This window comes from Homo sapiens, chromosome 18, assembly GCF_000001405.40.
Source record: "Homo sapiens chromosome 18, GRCh38.p14 Primary Assembly".
NCBI lineage: Eukaryota > Metazoa > Chordata > Mammalia > Primates > Hominidae > Homo > Homo sapiens.
This window is the reverse complement of record NC_000018.10, coordinates 9,360,855-9,379,994: the sequence shown is the minus strand read 5'-3', so window position 1 is coordinate 9,379,994 and position 19,140 is coordinate 9,360,855. Positions and strand designations below refer to the sequence as shown.

At 40.0% G+C, this 19,140-nt stretch overlaps 1 protein-coding gene across 2 annotated transcripts in view; it reads right to left on the bottom strand.

Moving 5' to 3' along the window:
- Positions 1–19,140, bottom strand: part of TWSG1 (twisted gastrulation BMP signaling modulator 1) — a 67,648-nt gene that overhangs the window by 22,426 nt on the left and 26,082 nt on the right. The window lies entirely within an intron of this gene.

Here is a 19,140-nt window from a genome sequence, read left to right as displayed (position 1 = left end):
TCTTCAAGATATCTTTAATCAAAGAAGCATCAAGTTTTAAAAGTCTACAACTAATTCACTCCATAGTACAGTCTCATCTGAGTTTCTCATTAAAAACAAAGTGATACCATGTTTATGGGTAGGAAGAATCAATATTAAAACTTCAATTCTCTACAAATTGATCTATAGATTCAACGCACTTCTAATAAAAATACTAAGAAGTTTTTTTCAAACAAGTCTCTTTATTCTACAAAAGGATACATGGATAGACATATTTCTTTTATATGGAATTGTATTGTCCATTATAGTTTTTTCCTCTGGGATCTATTTTTTAAAAACACTTTAACTTTTATTTTAAGTTCAGGGGTACTTGTGCAGGTTTGTTATATAGATAAACTTGTGATTCAGGGGTTTGGTGTACAGGTTATTTCATCACCTGAATACCAAGCATAGTACCCAGTAGTTTTTTTTCTGAACCTCTCCCTCCTCCCGTCCTCCACCCTCAAGTAGGCCTCAGTGTCTGTTGTTCCCCTCCTTCTGTCCACGTGTTCTCATTATTTAGCTCAATGAGAACATAACGGTCTTTGGTTTTCTGTTTCTGCGATAGTTTGCTAAGGGTAATGATAATGGCTTCCAGTTCCATCCATGTTCCCGCAAAGGACATGATCGCATTCTTTTTTCTGGCTGCAGAGTATTCCATGGTGTGTATGTACCACTCTTTCTTCATCCAGTCTACCATCGATGGGCATTTAGGTTGATTCCATGTCTTTGCTATTGTGAACAGTGCTGAAATGAACATATGTGTCTTTAAGGTAGAATGATTTATATTCCTTTGGGTATATACTGAGTAGTGGGACTGCTGGGTCAAATGGTAGTTCTATTTTTAGTTCTTTGAGGAATCGTTACACTGCTTTCCACAATGGTTGAACTAATTTACACTCCCACCAGCAGTATGTAAGTGTTCCCTTTTCTCCACAACTTCGCCAGCATCTGTTATTTTTTGACTTTTTAATATCATAGCCACTCTGACTGGTGTGAGATAGTATCTCATTGTGGTTTTGATTTGCATTTACGTAATGATTAGTGATATTGAGCATTTTCTCATTTCCCAGGCTCTAGTGATCCTCCAGCCTCAGCCTCTGTAGTAGGTAGGACTACAGGTGTGAGCCACAATGCCCAGCTAATTTTTTTTTTTTTTGGTATTTTTTGTAGAGATGGTATTTCGTTAAGTTGCCCAGGCTGGTCTCAAACTCCTAAACTCAGTGATCCACCCATCTTGGCCTCCCAAGGTGCTGGGATTACAGGCATGAGCCACCACACCTGGCTAGTATGACCATTTAAGTGATATTGATTCTTCCTATCCAAGAGCATAGAATGTTCTTCCATTTGTTTTGGTCATCTCTGATTTCTTTGAAAAGTGTTTTGTAATTCTCACTGTAGAGATCTTTTATCTCACTGGTTAGGTATATTCCTAGGTATTTTATTCTTTTTGTGACAACTGTGAATGGGATTGAGTTCCTAATTTGGCTCTCAGCATGGGTGCTGGTTAGTGTATAAAAGCGCTACTGATTTTTTGTACATTGATTTTGTACCCCAAAACTTTGCTGAAGTTGTTTATCAGTTCAAGGAGCTTTTGGGCAGAGACTATGGGGTTTTCTAGATATAGAATTGTGTTGTCTGCAAACAGGGATAGTTTGACTTCCTCTCTTCCTATTTGGATGCCTTTTATTCCTTTCTCTTGCCTCATTGCTCTGGCCAGGACTTCCAATACTATATTGAATAGGAGTGGTGAGAGAGGGCATCCTTGTTTTGTTTTTGTATATTCTGGGTAACAGTCCTTTATTAGATACAACTTTTGTAAATATTTTCTCCTAGTCTGTGGCTGATCTTTTCATTTTCTTTACAGTGTCTTTTGCAGAGTAGAAATTTTTAATTTTAATGAAATTCGGCTTATCAGTTCTTTCTTTCATGTATTGTGCCTTTGGTGTTGTATCTAAAAAGTCACTGCCAGGCTCACGCCTGTAATCCCAGCACTTTGGGAGGCCGAGGCGGGTGGATCACTTGAGCTTAAGAGTTCAAGACCAGCCTGGGCAACATGGCAAAACCCCATCTCTACAAAAAATACAAGAATTAGCCAGGCGTGGTGGCACATGCCTGTAGTCCTAGCTACTTGGGAGGCTGAGGTGGAAGATGGCTTGAGCCTGGGAGGTCAAGGCTACAGTGAGCTGACATCATGCCACTGCACTCCAGCCTGGGCAACAGAGTAGAGACCCTGTCTCAAACAAAACCCCAAAAATTAAAGTCTCTGCCAAATCCAAGGTCATTTAGATTTTCTCTTATGTTATCTTCTAGGAGTTTCACAGTATTGTGTTTACATTTATTTAGGTCTGTGATCTACTTTGAGTTAATTTTTGTGAAACAGGTTTGTGTATAGATTCATATTTTGCAGATGGATGGCCAGTTGTTCCAGCACCGTTTGTTAAAAAGACTATCTTTAGGCCAGGCGCGGTGGCTCATGCCCGTAATCCCAGCACTTTGGGAGGCCAAGGCGGGCAGATCACTTGAGGTCAGGAGTTCGAGACCAACCTGGCCAACATGGTGAAACCCCGTCTCTACTAAAAATACAAAAATTAGCTGGGCGTGGTGGCTCATGCCTGTAATCCCAGCTACTCCGGAGGCTGAGACAGGAGAATCGCTTGAACCCGGGAGGCGGAGGTTGCAGTGAGCCGAGGTCGCACCACTGCACGCCAGCCTGGGCAACAGAGCAAGACTCTGTCCCCCCAAAAAAAAAAAAGAAAAAGAAAAACAAAACAGACTATCTTTGCTCCACTGTATTACCTTTGCTCCTTTGTCAAGATCATTTGACTACAGTCATCCCTTGATAGATCTGTGGGGGATTGGTTCCAGGACCCCCCAGGAAACACCAAAATCCACAGATGCTCAAGTCTCTTATATAAAGTGGTATAGTTTTTGCGTATAACCTACCTACACACAGCCTCGTGAATACTTGAAATAATCTCTAGATTACTTATGATACATAATACAGTGTAAACATACTGTTAAGTAACATGTAAACAGTTGTTATACTTTATTGTTAAAGGAATGATGACAAGAAAAAAATTCTGTACATGTTCAGTACAGACATAACCATCATAGGCCTAATACTTTTTTTTTTTTTTTTTTGGAGACAGGGTTTTGCTCTGTCACCCAGACTGGAATGCAGTGGCACAATCTCAGCTCACTGCAACCTCCACCTCTTAGGCTCAAGCAATCCTCCCACCTTAGCCTCCCAAGTAGCTGGGACTACAGATGTGTGCCACCATGCCTGGCTAATTTTTTTATTTTTTGAAGAGATCACATTACCTAGGCTGGTCACAAACTCCTGGGCTCAAGCAATCCACCCTCCTCAGCCTCTCAAAGGGGTGAGATTACAGGCGTGAGCCACCATGTCCAGCCCTAACTACATTTTTGATCTGCAGTTGGCTAAATCCAATAATACAAAACCCAAAGATACAAAGGGCCAGCCGTATATTTATGTGGGTCAGTTTCTGGGCTATTATTTTCCTTTCATCTATTTGTCTGTTTTTTTGCCATTACCACACTGTCTTGATTACTGTAGCTTTATAGTAAGTCTTGAAGTCCAGTAGTATCAGTCCTCCAACTTTCTTCTCTCCTTCAATATTGTGTTGGCTATTCTGTGTCTTTTGCCTTTCCATATAAACTTTAGAATCAGTTTGTCAATATCCATAAGATAAATTGCTAGGATTTTTATTGCAATTGCATTAAATCTATAGATGAAGGCCGGGTGTGGTGGCTTACGCCTGTAATCCCAGCACTTTGGGAGGCTGAGGCAGGGGGATCACTTGAGGTCAGGAGTTTGAAGCCAGCATAGCAAACATGGTGAAACCCTTTCTCTAATAAAAATACAAAAAAATTAGCTGGGCATGGTGGCAGGCACCTGTAATCCCAGATACTTGGGAGGCTGTGGCAGCAGAATTGCTTGAACCCGGGAGGCAGAGGTTGCAGTGAACCAAGATTGGCCACTGTACTCCAGCTTGGGTGAAAGAGCGAGACTCCATCTAAGAAAAAAAAAAAGTCTATAGATGAAGGTGGGAAGAACTGACATCTTGACAGTATGGAATCTTCCTATCCATGAACATAGAATATCCCCCATTTATTTAATTCTTTGATTTCATTCATGAGATTACTGTAGTTTTCCTCATACAGACCTTGCGCATATTTTGTTAGATTTATACCTAAGTATTTGGGGGTGCTAATATAAATAGTATTGTGTTTCCAATTTCAAATTCTACTGTTCATTGCTGGTATGTAGAACAGCAATTGCTTTTTATATATTAACCTTATATCCTGCAACTTTACTGTAATTGCTTATTCATTTCAGGAGTATTTTTGGTCAATTCTTTCAGGTTTTCTACATAGACAATCATGTCATCTTCAAACAAAGATAGTTTTATTTCTTCCTTCCTACTCTGTACACCTTTTATTTCCTTTCCTTGTATTATTGTGTTAGCTAGAACTTCCAGTATGATGTTGAAAAGCAGTGATAAGAGGGGACATCCTTGCCTTGTTCCTGACTATAGTGGGAAAGCTTCCAGTTTCTTACCATTAAGTTTGATGTTAGCTCTAAGTTTCTTGAAGATATTCTTTACCAAGTTTAGAAAGTTTCCCTCTAGTCCTAGTTTGCTGAGAGTTTTTATCATGAATGGGTGTTGGATTTTATTAAATGCTTTTTCTGCATCTATTGATATAATCATGTGATTTTTTTTTCTTTTTTAACTTGTTGATGTGATAAGATTACATTGCTTGATTTTTTTTTTTTTTTTTTTTTGAGACGGAGTATCGCTCTGTCACCCAGGCTGGAGTGCAGTGGCACAATCTTGGCTCACCGCAAGCTCTGCCTCCCGGGTTCACACCATTCTCCTGCCTCAGCCTCCTGAGTAACTGAGACTACAGGCGTCCGCCACCACGCCCAGCTAATTTTTTGTATTTTTAGCAGAGATGGGGTTTCACTGTGTTAGCCAGGATGTTCTCAATCTCCTGACCTCGTGATCTGGCCGCCTTGGCCTCCCAAAGTGCTGGGATTACAGGCGTGAGCCACCGCACCACACCCAGCCCACATTGCTTGATTTTTGAATGTTGAACCAGTATGGCATACTTGGGATATATCCCACTTGGTCAAAGTGTAATTTTTATACATTGTTGGATTTGATTTGTTAATATTTTGTTGATAATTTGCCTCTATATTCATGAGAGGTATTGGTCTGTAGTTTTCTTGTAATATCTTTGTCTAATTTGGGTATTAGGACAATGCTAACCTCACAGAATGAGTTGGGAAGAATTCTCTCTGCTTCTGTCTTCTGAAAGAGACTGTAGAGTCTTAGTATTTTTTCCTTAAATGTTTGGTAGAATTTACCAGTAAACCCATTGGGTCTGGTACTTTCTCTTTTAGAAGGTTATGAGCAATTGATTCAATTTATTTAAAAAATATAGGTTTGAAGTCTCGTGTGAATTTCTTCTTGTGTGAGTTTTGGCAGATTGTGTCCTTCAAGGAATTGGTCCATTTCACCTAGGTTATCAAATCCATGGGCAAAGAGTTTTCATAGCATTCTTTTATTGTCCTTTTACTATCCATAGGATCTATAGTGATGTTCTCTTTTTCATTTCTGCTGTTAGTAATTTGTGTCCTCTCTTTTTCTTAACCTAGTTAGAAGATCATCCATTTTATTGAACTGTTTGAAAAAAACAGCTTTTGATTTCGTTGATTATTGATTTCTTATTTTCAATTTCATTGATTTCTACTCTAATTTGTATTACTTCTTTTCTTCTGCTTACTTTGGATTGAGTTTGCTCTTCTTTTTCTAGTTTTCTAAAGTTTGGATTACTGATTTTTAGATCTTTTGTCTTTTTGAATATATATATTCCAATGTTATAAATTCCCCTTAAACACTGCTTTCATGGCATCCCTCAAATTTTGATGTTTTCATTTTTTATTTAGTACAAAAGGTTTAAATTCCTCTTGAGATTTCTTCTTTCATCCATGTGTTTAGAAGTGTGTTGCTTAATCTTCACATATTTTGGGATTTTCCAATTATCTTTCTGTTATTGATTTTTTATTTAATTCCATTGTAGTCTGAGAGCAGACATTGTAGGATTTCTATTCTTTTAAATTTGCTAAGGTGTGTTTTATGGTTCAGAATGTGATCTATCTTGGTGAATGTTTCACATAAGCTTGAGATAAAGCTTACATGCTTGGATATTCTGCTGTTGTGGAATGAAATAGTCAATAGATATCCATTATATTCAGCTGATTAATGGTGTTTTTGAGTTCAAACATGTCCCTATTGATTCTCTGCCTCCTGGGTTGAGGGGGGTTGAAGTCTTCAACTATAAGAGTGGATTTCTACTGCAGTTCTGTTAGTTTTTGCCTCACAGAGTTTTGTTTTTGTTTTGTTTCATTTTGAGACAGAGTCTCATTCTGTCACTCAGGTTGGACAGTGCAGCTGCACAATCTCAGCTCACTGCAACCTCTGCCTCTCAGGCTCAAGTAATTCTCATGACTCAGCATCCCAAGTAGCTGGGATTATAGGCATGCACCACTATGCCCAGCTAATTTTTGTATTTTTTTTTTGGTAGAGACAGGGTTTCGCCATGTTGACCAGGCTGGTCTTGAACTCCTGCCCTCAAGTGATCCACCTGCCTCAGCCTCCCAAAGTGGCATGAGCCACTGCACCTGGCCCTGCCTTACATAGTTTAATGCTGTTGTTAGGTGCATACACATTAAAGATTGTTATTTCTTTTTGGAGAATTGACCCCTTTATCACTATGTAATGTCCCTCTTTATCTCTGATAACTTTCCTTGCTGTGAAGTCTTCTCTGTCAGAAATTAATATAGCTGTTCTCACTTACATTCGATTAGTGTTACCATTGTATATCATTCTCCATCCATTCACTTTTAATCTATATGTCTGTATATTTAAAGTGGGTTTCTTGTAGGTAACATACAGTAGGGTCTTGTTTTTTGATCCACTCTAACAATCTCTTTTAATTGGTGCATTTAGACCACTGATGTTCAAAATGATTACTAATATAACTGGATTAATATCTATCATATTTGTTACTATCTTCTATTTGTTGTTCTTGTCTTTTGTTCCTATTTTTGTCTTCTACTCTTTTTCTGCCTTTTTGGTTTTAATTGAGCATTTTATTTGATTCCATTTTCTCTTCTTTTTTAAGCTTCTACTTTTTTTAGTGGTTGTCCTGGAGTGTGCAGTATACATTTACAATGAATCAAGTTCACATTTGAATAAACCATATCACTTCATGGGTAATGTGAGTACCTTATAATGACAAAATAATCCTAATTCCTCCCTCCTGTCCATGTATCATTGTTTTCATTCATTTCACTTATATATAAGCAAACATAAGCATATATTATAATGTATATATTATATATAATATATATAAATATATATACATACAGTAGTTGTCCCTTATCTGCAGTTTTGCTTTCCAGTTTCAATTATCTGTGGTTGACTATCATCTGAAATTATTAAGATATTTTGAGAGAAAGAGACAGAGATCACATTCACATAACTTTTATTACCGTATTATTTTATTTTATTTTTATTTTATTACCATATTATTGCTATAAATTGTTATTGTTAATCTCTTACTATGCCTAATTTATAAATTAAACTGTATCATAGGAATGTATGTATAGGAAAAAGTATAGTATTTATAAGGTTTGGTACTATCTGTGGTTTCAGGAATTCACTGTGGGCCCTGGAATGTATCTCCCACCGATAAGGGGGAACTACTGTATATACAAATATATAATATATATACATACATAGCACACATAATTAAATACATTGTTGCTATTATTTTGAAAGAGCTGTCATCTGTTAGATCAATTAAGAATAAAAACGTTGGCCAGGCGCGATGGCTCACGGCTGTAATCCCAGCACTTTGGGAGGCCAAGGAGGGCGGATCATGAGGTCAGGAGTTCGAGACCAGTCTGGCCAACACAGTGAATCCCTGTCTCTACTAAAAATACAAAACATTAGCCGAGAGTGGTGATGTGCGCCTGTAGTCCCAGCTACTCAGGAGGCTGAGGCAGGAGAATCACCGGGGAGGCGGAGGTTGCAGTGAGCCGAGACTGAGCCACTGCACTCCAGCCCAGGCGACAGTGCGAGACTCTGTCTCAAAAAAAAAAAAAAAAAGAATAAAAATGTTTCACTTTATCTTCACTTATTCTTTGTGTGTTCATTGCTACTGGAGAAGAACTTCTTTTTAAAATGTCTTCTAAAAAGGCAGAGAATATATAGGAAATATACTACAAGCAACTTCAAAGTTCTTTTTAGGATAAGGAAGGCAAACTATGTATATAAGTGATTTATAGGCTGGGCACAGTGGCTCACGCCTGTAATCCCAGTACTTTGGGAGGCCAAGGCAGGCGGATCACGAGGTCAGGAGTTTGAGACCAGCTTGGCCAACATGGTGAAACCCTGTCTCTACTAAAAATACAAAAATTAGCCAGGCATGGTGGCACGTGCCTGTAGTCCTAGCTACTCGGGAGGATGAGGCAGGAGAATAGTTTGAACCCAGGAGGCAGAGGTTGCAGTGAGCCAAGATCACACCATTGCACTCCAGCCTGGGCGACAGGGCAAGACTCCATCTCAAAAAAAAAAAAAAAAAGTGATTTCTAAAATCCTTTAAATCAGTGCAGTTTCTTTGCTTTGGCTGAGACTCACATTTAAGGTCATATATAAATACTAAAAACAAAAAGTAACTTCTAAATATTCATAATGCAATCTCAGACCTCCTTTTGTGGCAACTTAAGGGACTTTTATAAGCAATTTTAAAGTATAGGGTCAATCTGTCATTTCTAAAAGTGAGGGAAGTTACATAAATCTAATAGGCCCAATAGGTATCACACAAAAGGGTTTTTTTTTTTTAAGTTTAATCTGGAATAAAGGTACTGCTATTCAGTTTCTCAGAGAAACACCTTAGAGTTAAGTGATCATTATTCCATTTTGGCTACTTAGAGAAAAATCTCCTTAACTTAAAAAATGAACAGTTACCTAACATAGCTTTTTTTGGAAGAAAAAGTTTATTGAAATTGTTCCTGAATATTATGCTATGGCTCATATTTTATACAACTCACAAGTTTTGATGGGCTCAAAGCAGAAAAGGATACTTAAATGAATGTTCTTGAAGAAAATTCACTCTAAGGAAGAAGCTACTATTACTAGTAGAAAACATCTATGGCTGGAGTTAATTTTGGAATTAGGTCCTGTGCTATTTGACCCAATGGATAAATTACATTCAGTTTTCTTTTTTAGTCGGTTTTCTGAATCAATGCATCAGCTTTAAAAGTAAACTCTGAATAGGCCTAAATGACTCTAGTCTTCGGTGTCTTTAAGTACTTATTGGGTAACAGTTGCAAACATCTAGACCAAACAAACATCTCTGGCAAAATAAAACCCAACAAAAAAGTACATAAGGCATTATCCTTTGGCATACCAATTCTGGTATATGTGTTCAGTGAAATTCAACACTGACGATGGTTGAATTTGGGAAGAGATTGGAAAGTGATCATTATGTATCTAAAACTAGGTAGAGGAAAATACAGAAAGTGCCACGACATTGGTCTGGACAATAATTTTTTTTTTTTTTTAGATGGAGTCTCACTCTGTCACCAGGCTGGAGTGCAGTGGCATGATCTTGGCTCACTGCAACCTCCACCTCCTGGGTTCAAGCAATTCTGCTGCCTCAGCCTCCCAAGTAGCTGGGACTACAGGTACACACCACCACACCCAGCTAATTTTTGTATTTTTAGTAGGGACGGGGTTTCACCATGTTGGCCAGGATGGTCTTGATCTCTTGACCTCATGATCCGCCCACCTCAGCCTCCCAAAATGCTGGTATTACAGGTGTGAACCACTGCGCCTGGCTGGACAATGATTCTTTGGGACATGAATCCAAAAGCACAGGGAACAAAAGCAAAAACAGACAAATGGAATTAACTCAAAGTAAAAAGCTTCTGCACAGTCAAGGAAACAATCAATATAGTGAAGAGACAATCTACAGAATGGGAAAAAATATTTGCAAACCATACATTTGATAAGCGGTTAATATAAAAAATATGTAACGAACTCAGGGGGCTGGGCATGGTGGCTCACGCCTGTAATCCCAATGCTTTGGGAGGCTGAGGTGGGAAGATCACTTGAGGTCAGGAGCTTGAGATGAGCCTGGGCAGCATAGAGAGATCCCATTGCTACAAAAATTAAAAAGTAAGCTGGGTATGGTGGTGTGCACACTCCAGCCTGAGCAACGGAAGAAGACCTTGTCTCAAAGCAAAAAAAAGGAACTCAAACAACCTAACAGTGAGAAAACAAATAATCCAATATTAAAAAATGGGCAAAGGGCCCAGGTGCGGTGGCTCATGCCTGTAATCCCAGCATTTGGGAAGGCGAGGTGGGTGTATCATGAGGTCAGGAGTTTGAGACCAGCTTGGCCAACATGGTGAAACCCCATCTCTACTAAAAATACAAAAATTAGCCAGGCGTGGTGGCGGGCACCTGTAATCCCAACTACTTGGGAGGCTGAGGCATGAGAATTGCTTGAACCTGGGAGGTGGAGGCTGCAGTGAGCCAAGATCGTGCCATTGTACTCTAGCCTGGGTGACAGAGCAAGACTCTGACTCAAAAGAAACGGGCAAAGGATCAGAATAGACATTAATCAAAAGAAGACATACAAATGGCTAACAGATATATGCTGTATATGTAAAAATTCTCAAAATCACTAATCATCAAAGTAATACAAATTATTTATTTTATTTTATTTTATTTTATTTATTTATTTGTTTGTTTGTTTGTTTGTTTTGAGACAGAGTCTACTCTGTTGCCCAGGCTGGAGTGCAATGGCACTATCTTGGCTCACTGCAAACTCTGCTGCCTGGGTTCAGGCAATTCTCGTGCCTCAGCCTCCTGAGTAGCTGGGATTACAAGTGTGTGCCACCACACTCAGCTAATTTTTTTTTTTTGAGACAGAGTCTCGCTCTGTTGCCCAGGCTGGAGTGCAGTTGCATGATCTCGGCTCACTGCAAACTTCACCTCCCAGGCTCAAGCGATTCTCCTGCCTCAGCCTCCCGAATAGCTGGGATTACAGGTGTGTGCCACCATGCCCAGCTAATTTTTGTATTTTTAGTAGAGACGGAGTTTCACCATGTTCACCAGGCTGGTCTCAAACTCCTGACCTCAGGTGATCTGCCCTCCTTGGCCTCCCAAAGTGCTGGGATTACAGGCATGAGCCGCCGTGCCCAGCCAATTTTTGTATTTTTAATAGAGATGGTGTTTTACTATGTTGGCCAGCCTGATCTTGAACTCCTGACCTCAAATGATCTACCTGCCTCAGCCTCCCAAAGTGCTGGAATTACAGACGTGAGCCACTGCACCCAGCCCAAAGCAATACAAATTAAAACCACAATAATGGCCAGGTGTGATGGCTCATGCCTGTAATCCCAGCACTCTGGGAGGCTGAGGCGAGTGGATCCTGAGGTCAAGAGTTCAAGACCAACCTGGCCAAGATGGCGAAACCCTATCTCTCCTAAAAATACAAAAAAATTAGCCAGGCATGGTGGCAGGCACCTGTAATCTCAGCTACTTGGGAGGCTGAGGCAGAGAATTGCTTGAATCCAGGAGGCGGAGGTTGCAGTGAGCCAAGATCATGCCACTGCACTCCAGCCTGGGTGACAGAGTGAGGTTCCATCTCAAAAAAACAAAACAAAACAAAAAAAACACCACAATAAGATATTACCTCATACCTTTTAGAAGGGCCATTATAAAAAAGATGAAAGGCAACAAGTGTTGGAGAGGGAGGGCATGGAGAAAAGGGAATCCTTGCATGCTGTTGGTGGGAATGTAAATTAGTACAACCATTATGGAGAACAGTATGGAGGTTCCTAAAAAAATTAAAAATAGAACTAGCTCAGTATGTCAAAGAGATGTTTGCACTCTCATGTTCCCTGCAGCATTATTCACAATAGTCAAGACAGAGAATCAACCTAATTGTCCAAAAATGGATAAAGAAAATGTGGATATGTACAATGTGGTATATTTATACAATATAAAATACAATTCCACTTTATATACAATGGAATACTATTCAGCCTTAAAAAAAGAAGGAAATCCTATCAGTAGCCCCCAGCCTTTTTGGCACCAGGACTGGTTTTGGGATGAAACTGTTCCACCTCAGATCATCAGGCATTAGATTCTCATAAGGAGCATGCAACTGAGACCCCTCGTATGTGCAGTTCACAATAGGGTTCGAGCTCCTGTAAGAATCCAATACTGCCGCTGACCTGACAGGAGACGGAGCTCAGGCGGTGACGCTCGCTTGCCTGGTGTTCACCTCCTTCTATGTGGCCCGGTTCCTAAGAGGCGGCGGACTGCTACTGGTCCATGGCTCAGGGGTTGGGGACCCTGATTTACAACATGGATGAACCTGGAGGACATCATGTTAAGTAAAATAAGCCAGTCACAGAAAGGCAAATACCGCATGATTTCACTTATATGTGGAATCTAAAAAAGTTGAACTCACAGAAGCGGTGAGCAGAATGGTTACCAGGAGCTGAGGAAAGGGGAGGTGTCCATCAAATAATGCAAAATTTCAGTTAGATAGAAATAATAAATTCAAGAGCTCTATTGTACAACATGGTGACTATAGCTAATAACAATGTATTATATTCTTGAAAATTGCTGGCTGGGCACAGTGGCTCACACTTGTAATCCCAGCACTTTGGGAAGCCAAGGCGGGAGTATCACTTGTGTCCAGGAATTCAAGACCAGTCTGGATAACACATTGAGACCCCATCTCTACAAAAAATTTAAAAATTAGCGAGGTGTGGTAGCATAGTGCCAGCTACTCGGGAGGCTGAGGTGGGAAAATCACTTGAGGTTGCGGCTGCAGTGAGGTGTGATAGCATCACTGCACTCCAGCCTGGGTGACAGAGACCCTATCTCAAGAAAAAATAAAAAAGAAAATTGCTAAGAGAGTAGATTTTAAGTGTTCTCACCATACACAGAAAAGGTGAGGTAATGTATGTTAATTAGCTCTATGTAGCCATTCCACAATGTATACATATTTCAAAATAACCTGTTGCACTGGGTAAATATATACTATTATTTGTCAATTAAAATTAATAATAATAAATAATGTATCTAAATAATTTGCATAGTTTTTCTTAAAACAGAAAACAGAAAATTTGAACTCCTAGCACCTATTTATTCCTTAATATTAGAAAAGTAACATGTTAGAGCGAAGCAAGACAGAAATCCATTCTATGCAGGAACCAACGGATCTATCTAGATCTGACCTGAGATACAAGAGAGAGTCATAACGAAAAACCTGGATGTTCCAAAAGGAAGATGCCAAGACCCGTCAAGGTTAGTACTGGACTGTAGCCCTGAGTTCAAAGTCAGAGTTCAAGGAATTTGCCTAACAAAGAGCAGGATTAAGGAAGAAACATTTGATCCACTAGGTGGTAGAGCCTGTCCCAGGGTTGTGTTCCCAGCACAGAGCTGTCTGATCCTGTTTTCCTGGGTTTTGCAGGCACTGTGCCTGTTGCCTGACACCACCCACCTTTTCCGGCTCTTTCCCTGTGCCCCTTTCTTCCATTCACCACAGCGACATCTAGGATCTATGAGTTGGTATGGCAAAATGAGCCAAGCTGTGGTTGCTAAGCAGGTTTTCAGCAGGCTTCACAGCCTGGTCTTGGAGCTTATGATGCTTCCAATTTATTAAGTATAGCAAATGATCTTGGTACTATAAAGAATCTGCTATTTCTATATCAACATTATACAAACAGTGCACCACTGAATTATAGTGTTCCACGACATGCTAAACAGGTGGCTCAAGATGAAAAAGTTCATGCTTGCCATGTTTTATTTATTGGCACAAGTTATTAATTTTTTCTTTTATTTTTTTGAAACAGGGTCTTGATCTGTCACCCAGGCTGGAGTGCAGGGGTGCAATTATAGCTCACTACAGCCGCAAGCTCCTGGGCTCAAGTGATCCTCCTGTCTCAGCCCTCCAAGTAGCTAGGACTACAGGCATGCATCATTATGCCCAGTCAATTTTTTGTTTTTTTATTTTGTAGAGACAGAGTCTCCCTGTGTCGCCCAGGCTGATCTTGAACTCCTGTGCTCATGCGATCCTCCCACTTAGGCCTCCCAAAGTGCTGGGATTACAGGTGTGAGCCTCTGGGCCTGGCCTAGTTTTTTTCTTTTCCTTTCTTTTTCTTTTTCTTTTTTTTTGAGTTAAAGTCTCACTCTGCCGCCTAGGCTGGACTGCAGTGACTCAGACATGGCTCAGTACAGCCTGAACCTCCTGGGCTCAAGCGATTCTCCTGCCACAGCCCCCGCTCCCACCCAAGTAGCTGGGACTACAGGCACATGCCACCCATGCACAGCTAAATTTTTTATTTTTTGTAGAGACGGGGTTTTGCCATGTTGCCCAGGTTGGTCTCAAACTTAAGTGATCCGCCTGCCTTGGCCTCCCAGAGTGCTGGGATTATAGGCACGAGCAACTGCGCTCAGGCAATTTTTTCTTCTAATTTAACATTTCCCATAGAATTCAACATTTATTTATTTATTTAAAAAAATTTTTTTAGAGACAGGGTCTTACTCTGTTGCCCAGGCTGGAGTGCTGTAGTGCAATCAGAGCTCACTGCAGCCTTGACCTCCTGAGTTTAGTAATCCTCCTGCCTTAACCTCCCAAGTAGCTGGGACCATATGTGCATGCCATCACACCCAACTAATTAATTTTTATTTTTGGTAAAGATGGGGTCTCCTTATGTTGCCTAGGCTGGTCTTGAACTCCTGGGCTCAAGTGATCCTCCTTCTGTGGCCTCCCAACGTGCTGGAATTACAGGAATGAGCCATCATGCTTAGGCAGAATCCAACTTTTAATGCACATTAAACATGAATCAAAAGTTACAATGTCTTAATGCCATTAAAGAGTCTATTATTAAATCATTCATCATTTCATGTTGTTCTAAATGTATTTTAAGCTACTATGTAGTAGTGTAGGATTCCATTTACATTATACAGAAAAATTCCAGCTAATAACTGCAGAAGTAATGATAAAAATAGAAAATCATTGTTCTACAACTTTTCTTCTTCTTCTTTTTTTTTTTCTGAGACAGAGTCTCCCTCTGTCACCCAGACTGGAGTGCAGTGGCACTATCTCGGCTCACTGCAACTTCTGCCTTCTGGGTTCAAGTGACTCTCCTGCCTCAGCCTCCCTTGTCGCTGGGATTACAGGTGCCTACCACCACACCTGGCTAATTTTTGTATTTTTAGTAGTGACGGGATTTCGTCATGTTGGCTAGGCTGGTCTTGAATTCCTGACTTAAGGTGATTCGCCCCCTCTTGGCCTCCCAAAGTGCTGGGATTATACGCGTGAGCCACCACACCTGGCTGTTTTACAGCTTCTAATGAAGTAGCTGACTCAGGCAATGGTCATCAAGAAGGGGTGAAATCACCAGGTGAAAGGCTGATGGGGACCTTTATCACAAAGGGATCAGACTTTCACCGTCGGAACTCATGGGATCAATTTTAGCATTACTAAAAGCAGGACGTCTGGATATTGTTTGCCTTTGTGTACACTGTACCACTGTTCCCTCCTCCCAAAAACTGAGCCTCAATCTAATCAAGCCTTCATATCTAACTTCCAGCCTATAGGAAATAGAAAAGACCAACTAACAAGTTAAATAACCAAAAGAAGCAATCAACCAAATCCAGAATGTGGTTTATTTTGAAGAAACCAATCATGACTGACTAGTTTATTCAAAAAGCCAATGGAATATTAAAGGATGGGAGAGAGGGGGAGAAGAAACTGTTTTAGAATAAAAGAAACTTAAGAAATCTAACAACCAAATACAGTGAGTAATCTTTGTTGGATCTTGATTTGAGTAAAACAACTGTAAAAAACATTTAGTCAATCAGTGAAATCTAAGTATGATCTGAGTGGTATTAGACGATATTAAAGAAGTACTGTTAAATGGCCGGGTGCGGTGGCTCACATGTGTAATCCCAGCACTTTGGGAGGCTGAGGAGGGCAGATCACTTGAGGACAGGAGTTCGAGACCAGCCTGGCCAACATGGTGAAACCCCATCTGTACAAAAAAATACAAAAAAGTATCTAGATATGGTGGCGTGTGTCTGTAGTCCCAGCTACCTGGGAGGCTGAGGCAGGAGAATCACTTGAACTCAGGAGGTGGAGGTTGCAGTGAGCCAAGACTGCACCAGTGCACTCCAGCCTGGGCGAGAGAGCAAAACTCTGCCTCAAAAATAAAAATAAAAATAAAATAAAGATGTGCTGTTAATTACATTAGGCATAGTAATGACATTGTGTTATGTAAAAATACTCTTTTTTTGAGATGTATAACTAAAGGACTTCACGGATAATAGTGAAATGATTTACTTTGTAATACCTAAGCAAAACAAAAAGGTTGTGGGGGAAGATAGAGACATATACCAACAAACAGATGAATGGATGAAACAAGTCTGGCAATGTATTAATGACTATTGGAACAGGTAGTACGTATCACTGTACTCTCTATTTTTGTGCACATTTGGAAAAGTAAAAACAGTAAAAAAAAAGAAAAAAGAGCTTGTGGGTGGAGATCTAGGATCCAAAACCCACAGGATTTCAGGAATATGTTGGACAGCAAAGATTAAAATCAACTATGGTGGTTACTCTTACCTTAAGAAAAAATCAGAAAAGAGAAGCTCTTATACAAGGGAGCCACAGGGGAAAGTTTCCTAGAGAAAGTATGTGCTGAAGTCCACAGAATGAGAGAGGAAAGGAAGGCTGCACTCTAATTTGTGTTCTCTCAGAGGTCTGTGCCCCACCCATGAAAAGTATGGGGACTATTTCAACTTAGGAAGGAGGAGCAGCGGCAGGTTTGCAAAGGATGTTAAGAGAGCCTAATTTGGAAGAGAGCTGCCTACAAGGAGGAGGATTGCTGTATAAATAGAACTGGAATATCTCAGTTTTATCCTAGAAAGTAGAAAGATTAACTTAACTTAAAATGAAAGATGAAGTTACATTATGAACTTACTCAAAGTTTAAAACTGGACATCCAACCCTTAAAGGTAAATAAGCTTTTTTTAAAAAAATGAGAACTAGCCTGGAAGCATACCAGTTGCTTCTAAAATTGTAGAGATATAAGCATGTATAATTATTCTTTCTCAGTGGAAAAAAATGCAGAACTCTCTTCCTAAAAGAAGACGCTGAACAGCACTGTCATCATGGTGTGATGGTTAAGACACACACATATATAACACACATACACTCACATTCATACACTCGCACAAACACTCTCACACACATACATACACATTATTTTAGGCAATGCTATTAATAAAAGTTCATTTGTGTATTTTGGCATCCATGTTTAAATTAAATTCTTATGTGTGAGGCTGGGCACATTGGCTCACGCCTGTAATCCCAGCACTTTGGGAGGCTGAGGCGGGTGGATCACTTGAGCCCAGGAGTTCGAGACCAGCCTGGGCAACATGGCGAAACCCTGTCTCCATCAAAACTATAAAAATCAGCTGGGTGTTGTGGCTCATGCCTGCAGTCCCACCTACTTGGGAGGCTGAGGCAGGAGGACTGCTTGAGCCCAGGATGTTGAGCCTGCAGTGAGCCATGATCACACCACTCCACTCCAGCCTAGGCAACATAGCAAGACCCTGTCTCAAAAAAAAATCTTATGTGTGTATATCAGAGATTAAGATGACTATTTCCTCTTTTTTAGTTTCACTGTACATATTAAATTAATATACAGTTAATGACCTAAAATAATTCAAAGCTAGCTGTTAGAGATACCAAGATGAATATAAGAGGACAGAGGAAAAGATACTTCTGCCCCCATTCTCTCAGAATTCACTACAAAACACTAAAGAAAAACAAGAAATGGAAACACTAACTCTATCTGTGGAGAACCTAAGAGCTAAAGGTACCTGACTGAGCAGTCTTCACACAGGCCATGCACCCCACAGAACCCTGAGGAGACTCAGGAGCTGGAGGTGCCAGAGTGGCAGAGGCAAGCCTATTCTGTGGGGTAGTTATACCTTCAGGTCCCTGTCTCTTCTTCCACAACTGTAGGAGATGAGAGAGTTAGTCTTTAGAGAAATTAAACCAAAGAGGCCCTGGACTGGGAATGCCAAAAATGGCAAAGGGTAGAGATGAGTATGGGAAAAAAACAAGGAACGTAAATAAAAGTATGCTTACTGTTTACTGTGACCTCACCCCTCAGGTTCCCAGAACATTTGCAGCCTGGCATACTGCCCCATACCCCAGCCTCAACACCAGCAGGAAACCAGGAGATCTTTCTCTAGAAAAAATGTGCAACCCTAAAGGGAAAGATCTATAGACATGAAATAGAGGGCTCGTCAGTGAAAAAGGCAGTTCATCCTCCAACCACCTTTTCGTGAGGCAAACTACATTCCATGCCCTGTCCATGGATTAAGTACTCCCAGTCCGTTTTGGAGTACCTAAATTCTACAAAGGAATAGACAGCCAAGGGTCACCAGACACCTGAGAAAATGGAAATCATGCAAGGAGTAGAAGGAAAAAACTCAACAGCAACCACAAAACAGTACAATTAAGAATCCCATAAAGATAAGAAAAATATGTTACATATAAAACAAGAACAGTATGTTCCTTAAAAAAGGACAATCAGAGAAGGGCTCTTGGAAATTAAAAAAGGAAGTAAAAATTTAAAAAATTAATACAAGGGTGAAAAGATTAGGAAATCTCTCAAGAAGTACACCATACACCCAAAATACAGAAAGACAGATAATGGGATAACTCATTTAATTAATTAGTGCTTACATTATTATGCATCAAATGAGTATATATTATTAATTCATTAGAGTGATTATTAAGGTAAATACTGATTTCACTAGAAGGAGTGATAAAATCACACTGGGAAGATTAAGAGATAAGAGAACTAAATGCTTGTCTACCATAAGAGGAAGTCAACTGATAGTTTCTAAAATCAAAGAATCAAGAGAGTAGTATAGGGTTATTATTCAGAATTATGGAAGCAGTGCAACGCTGAAAAGT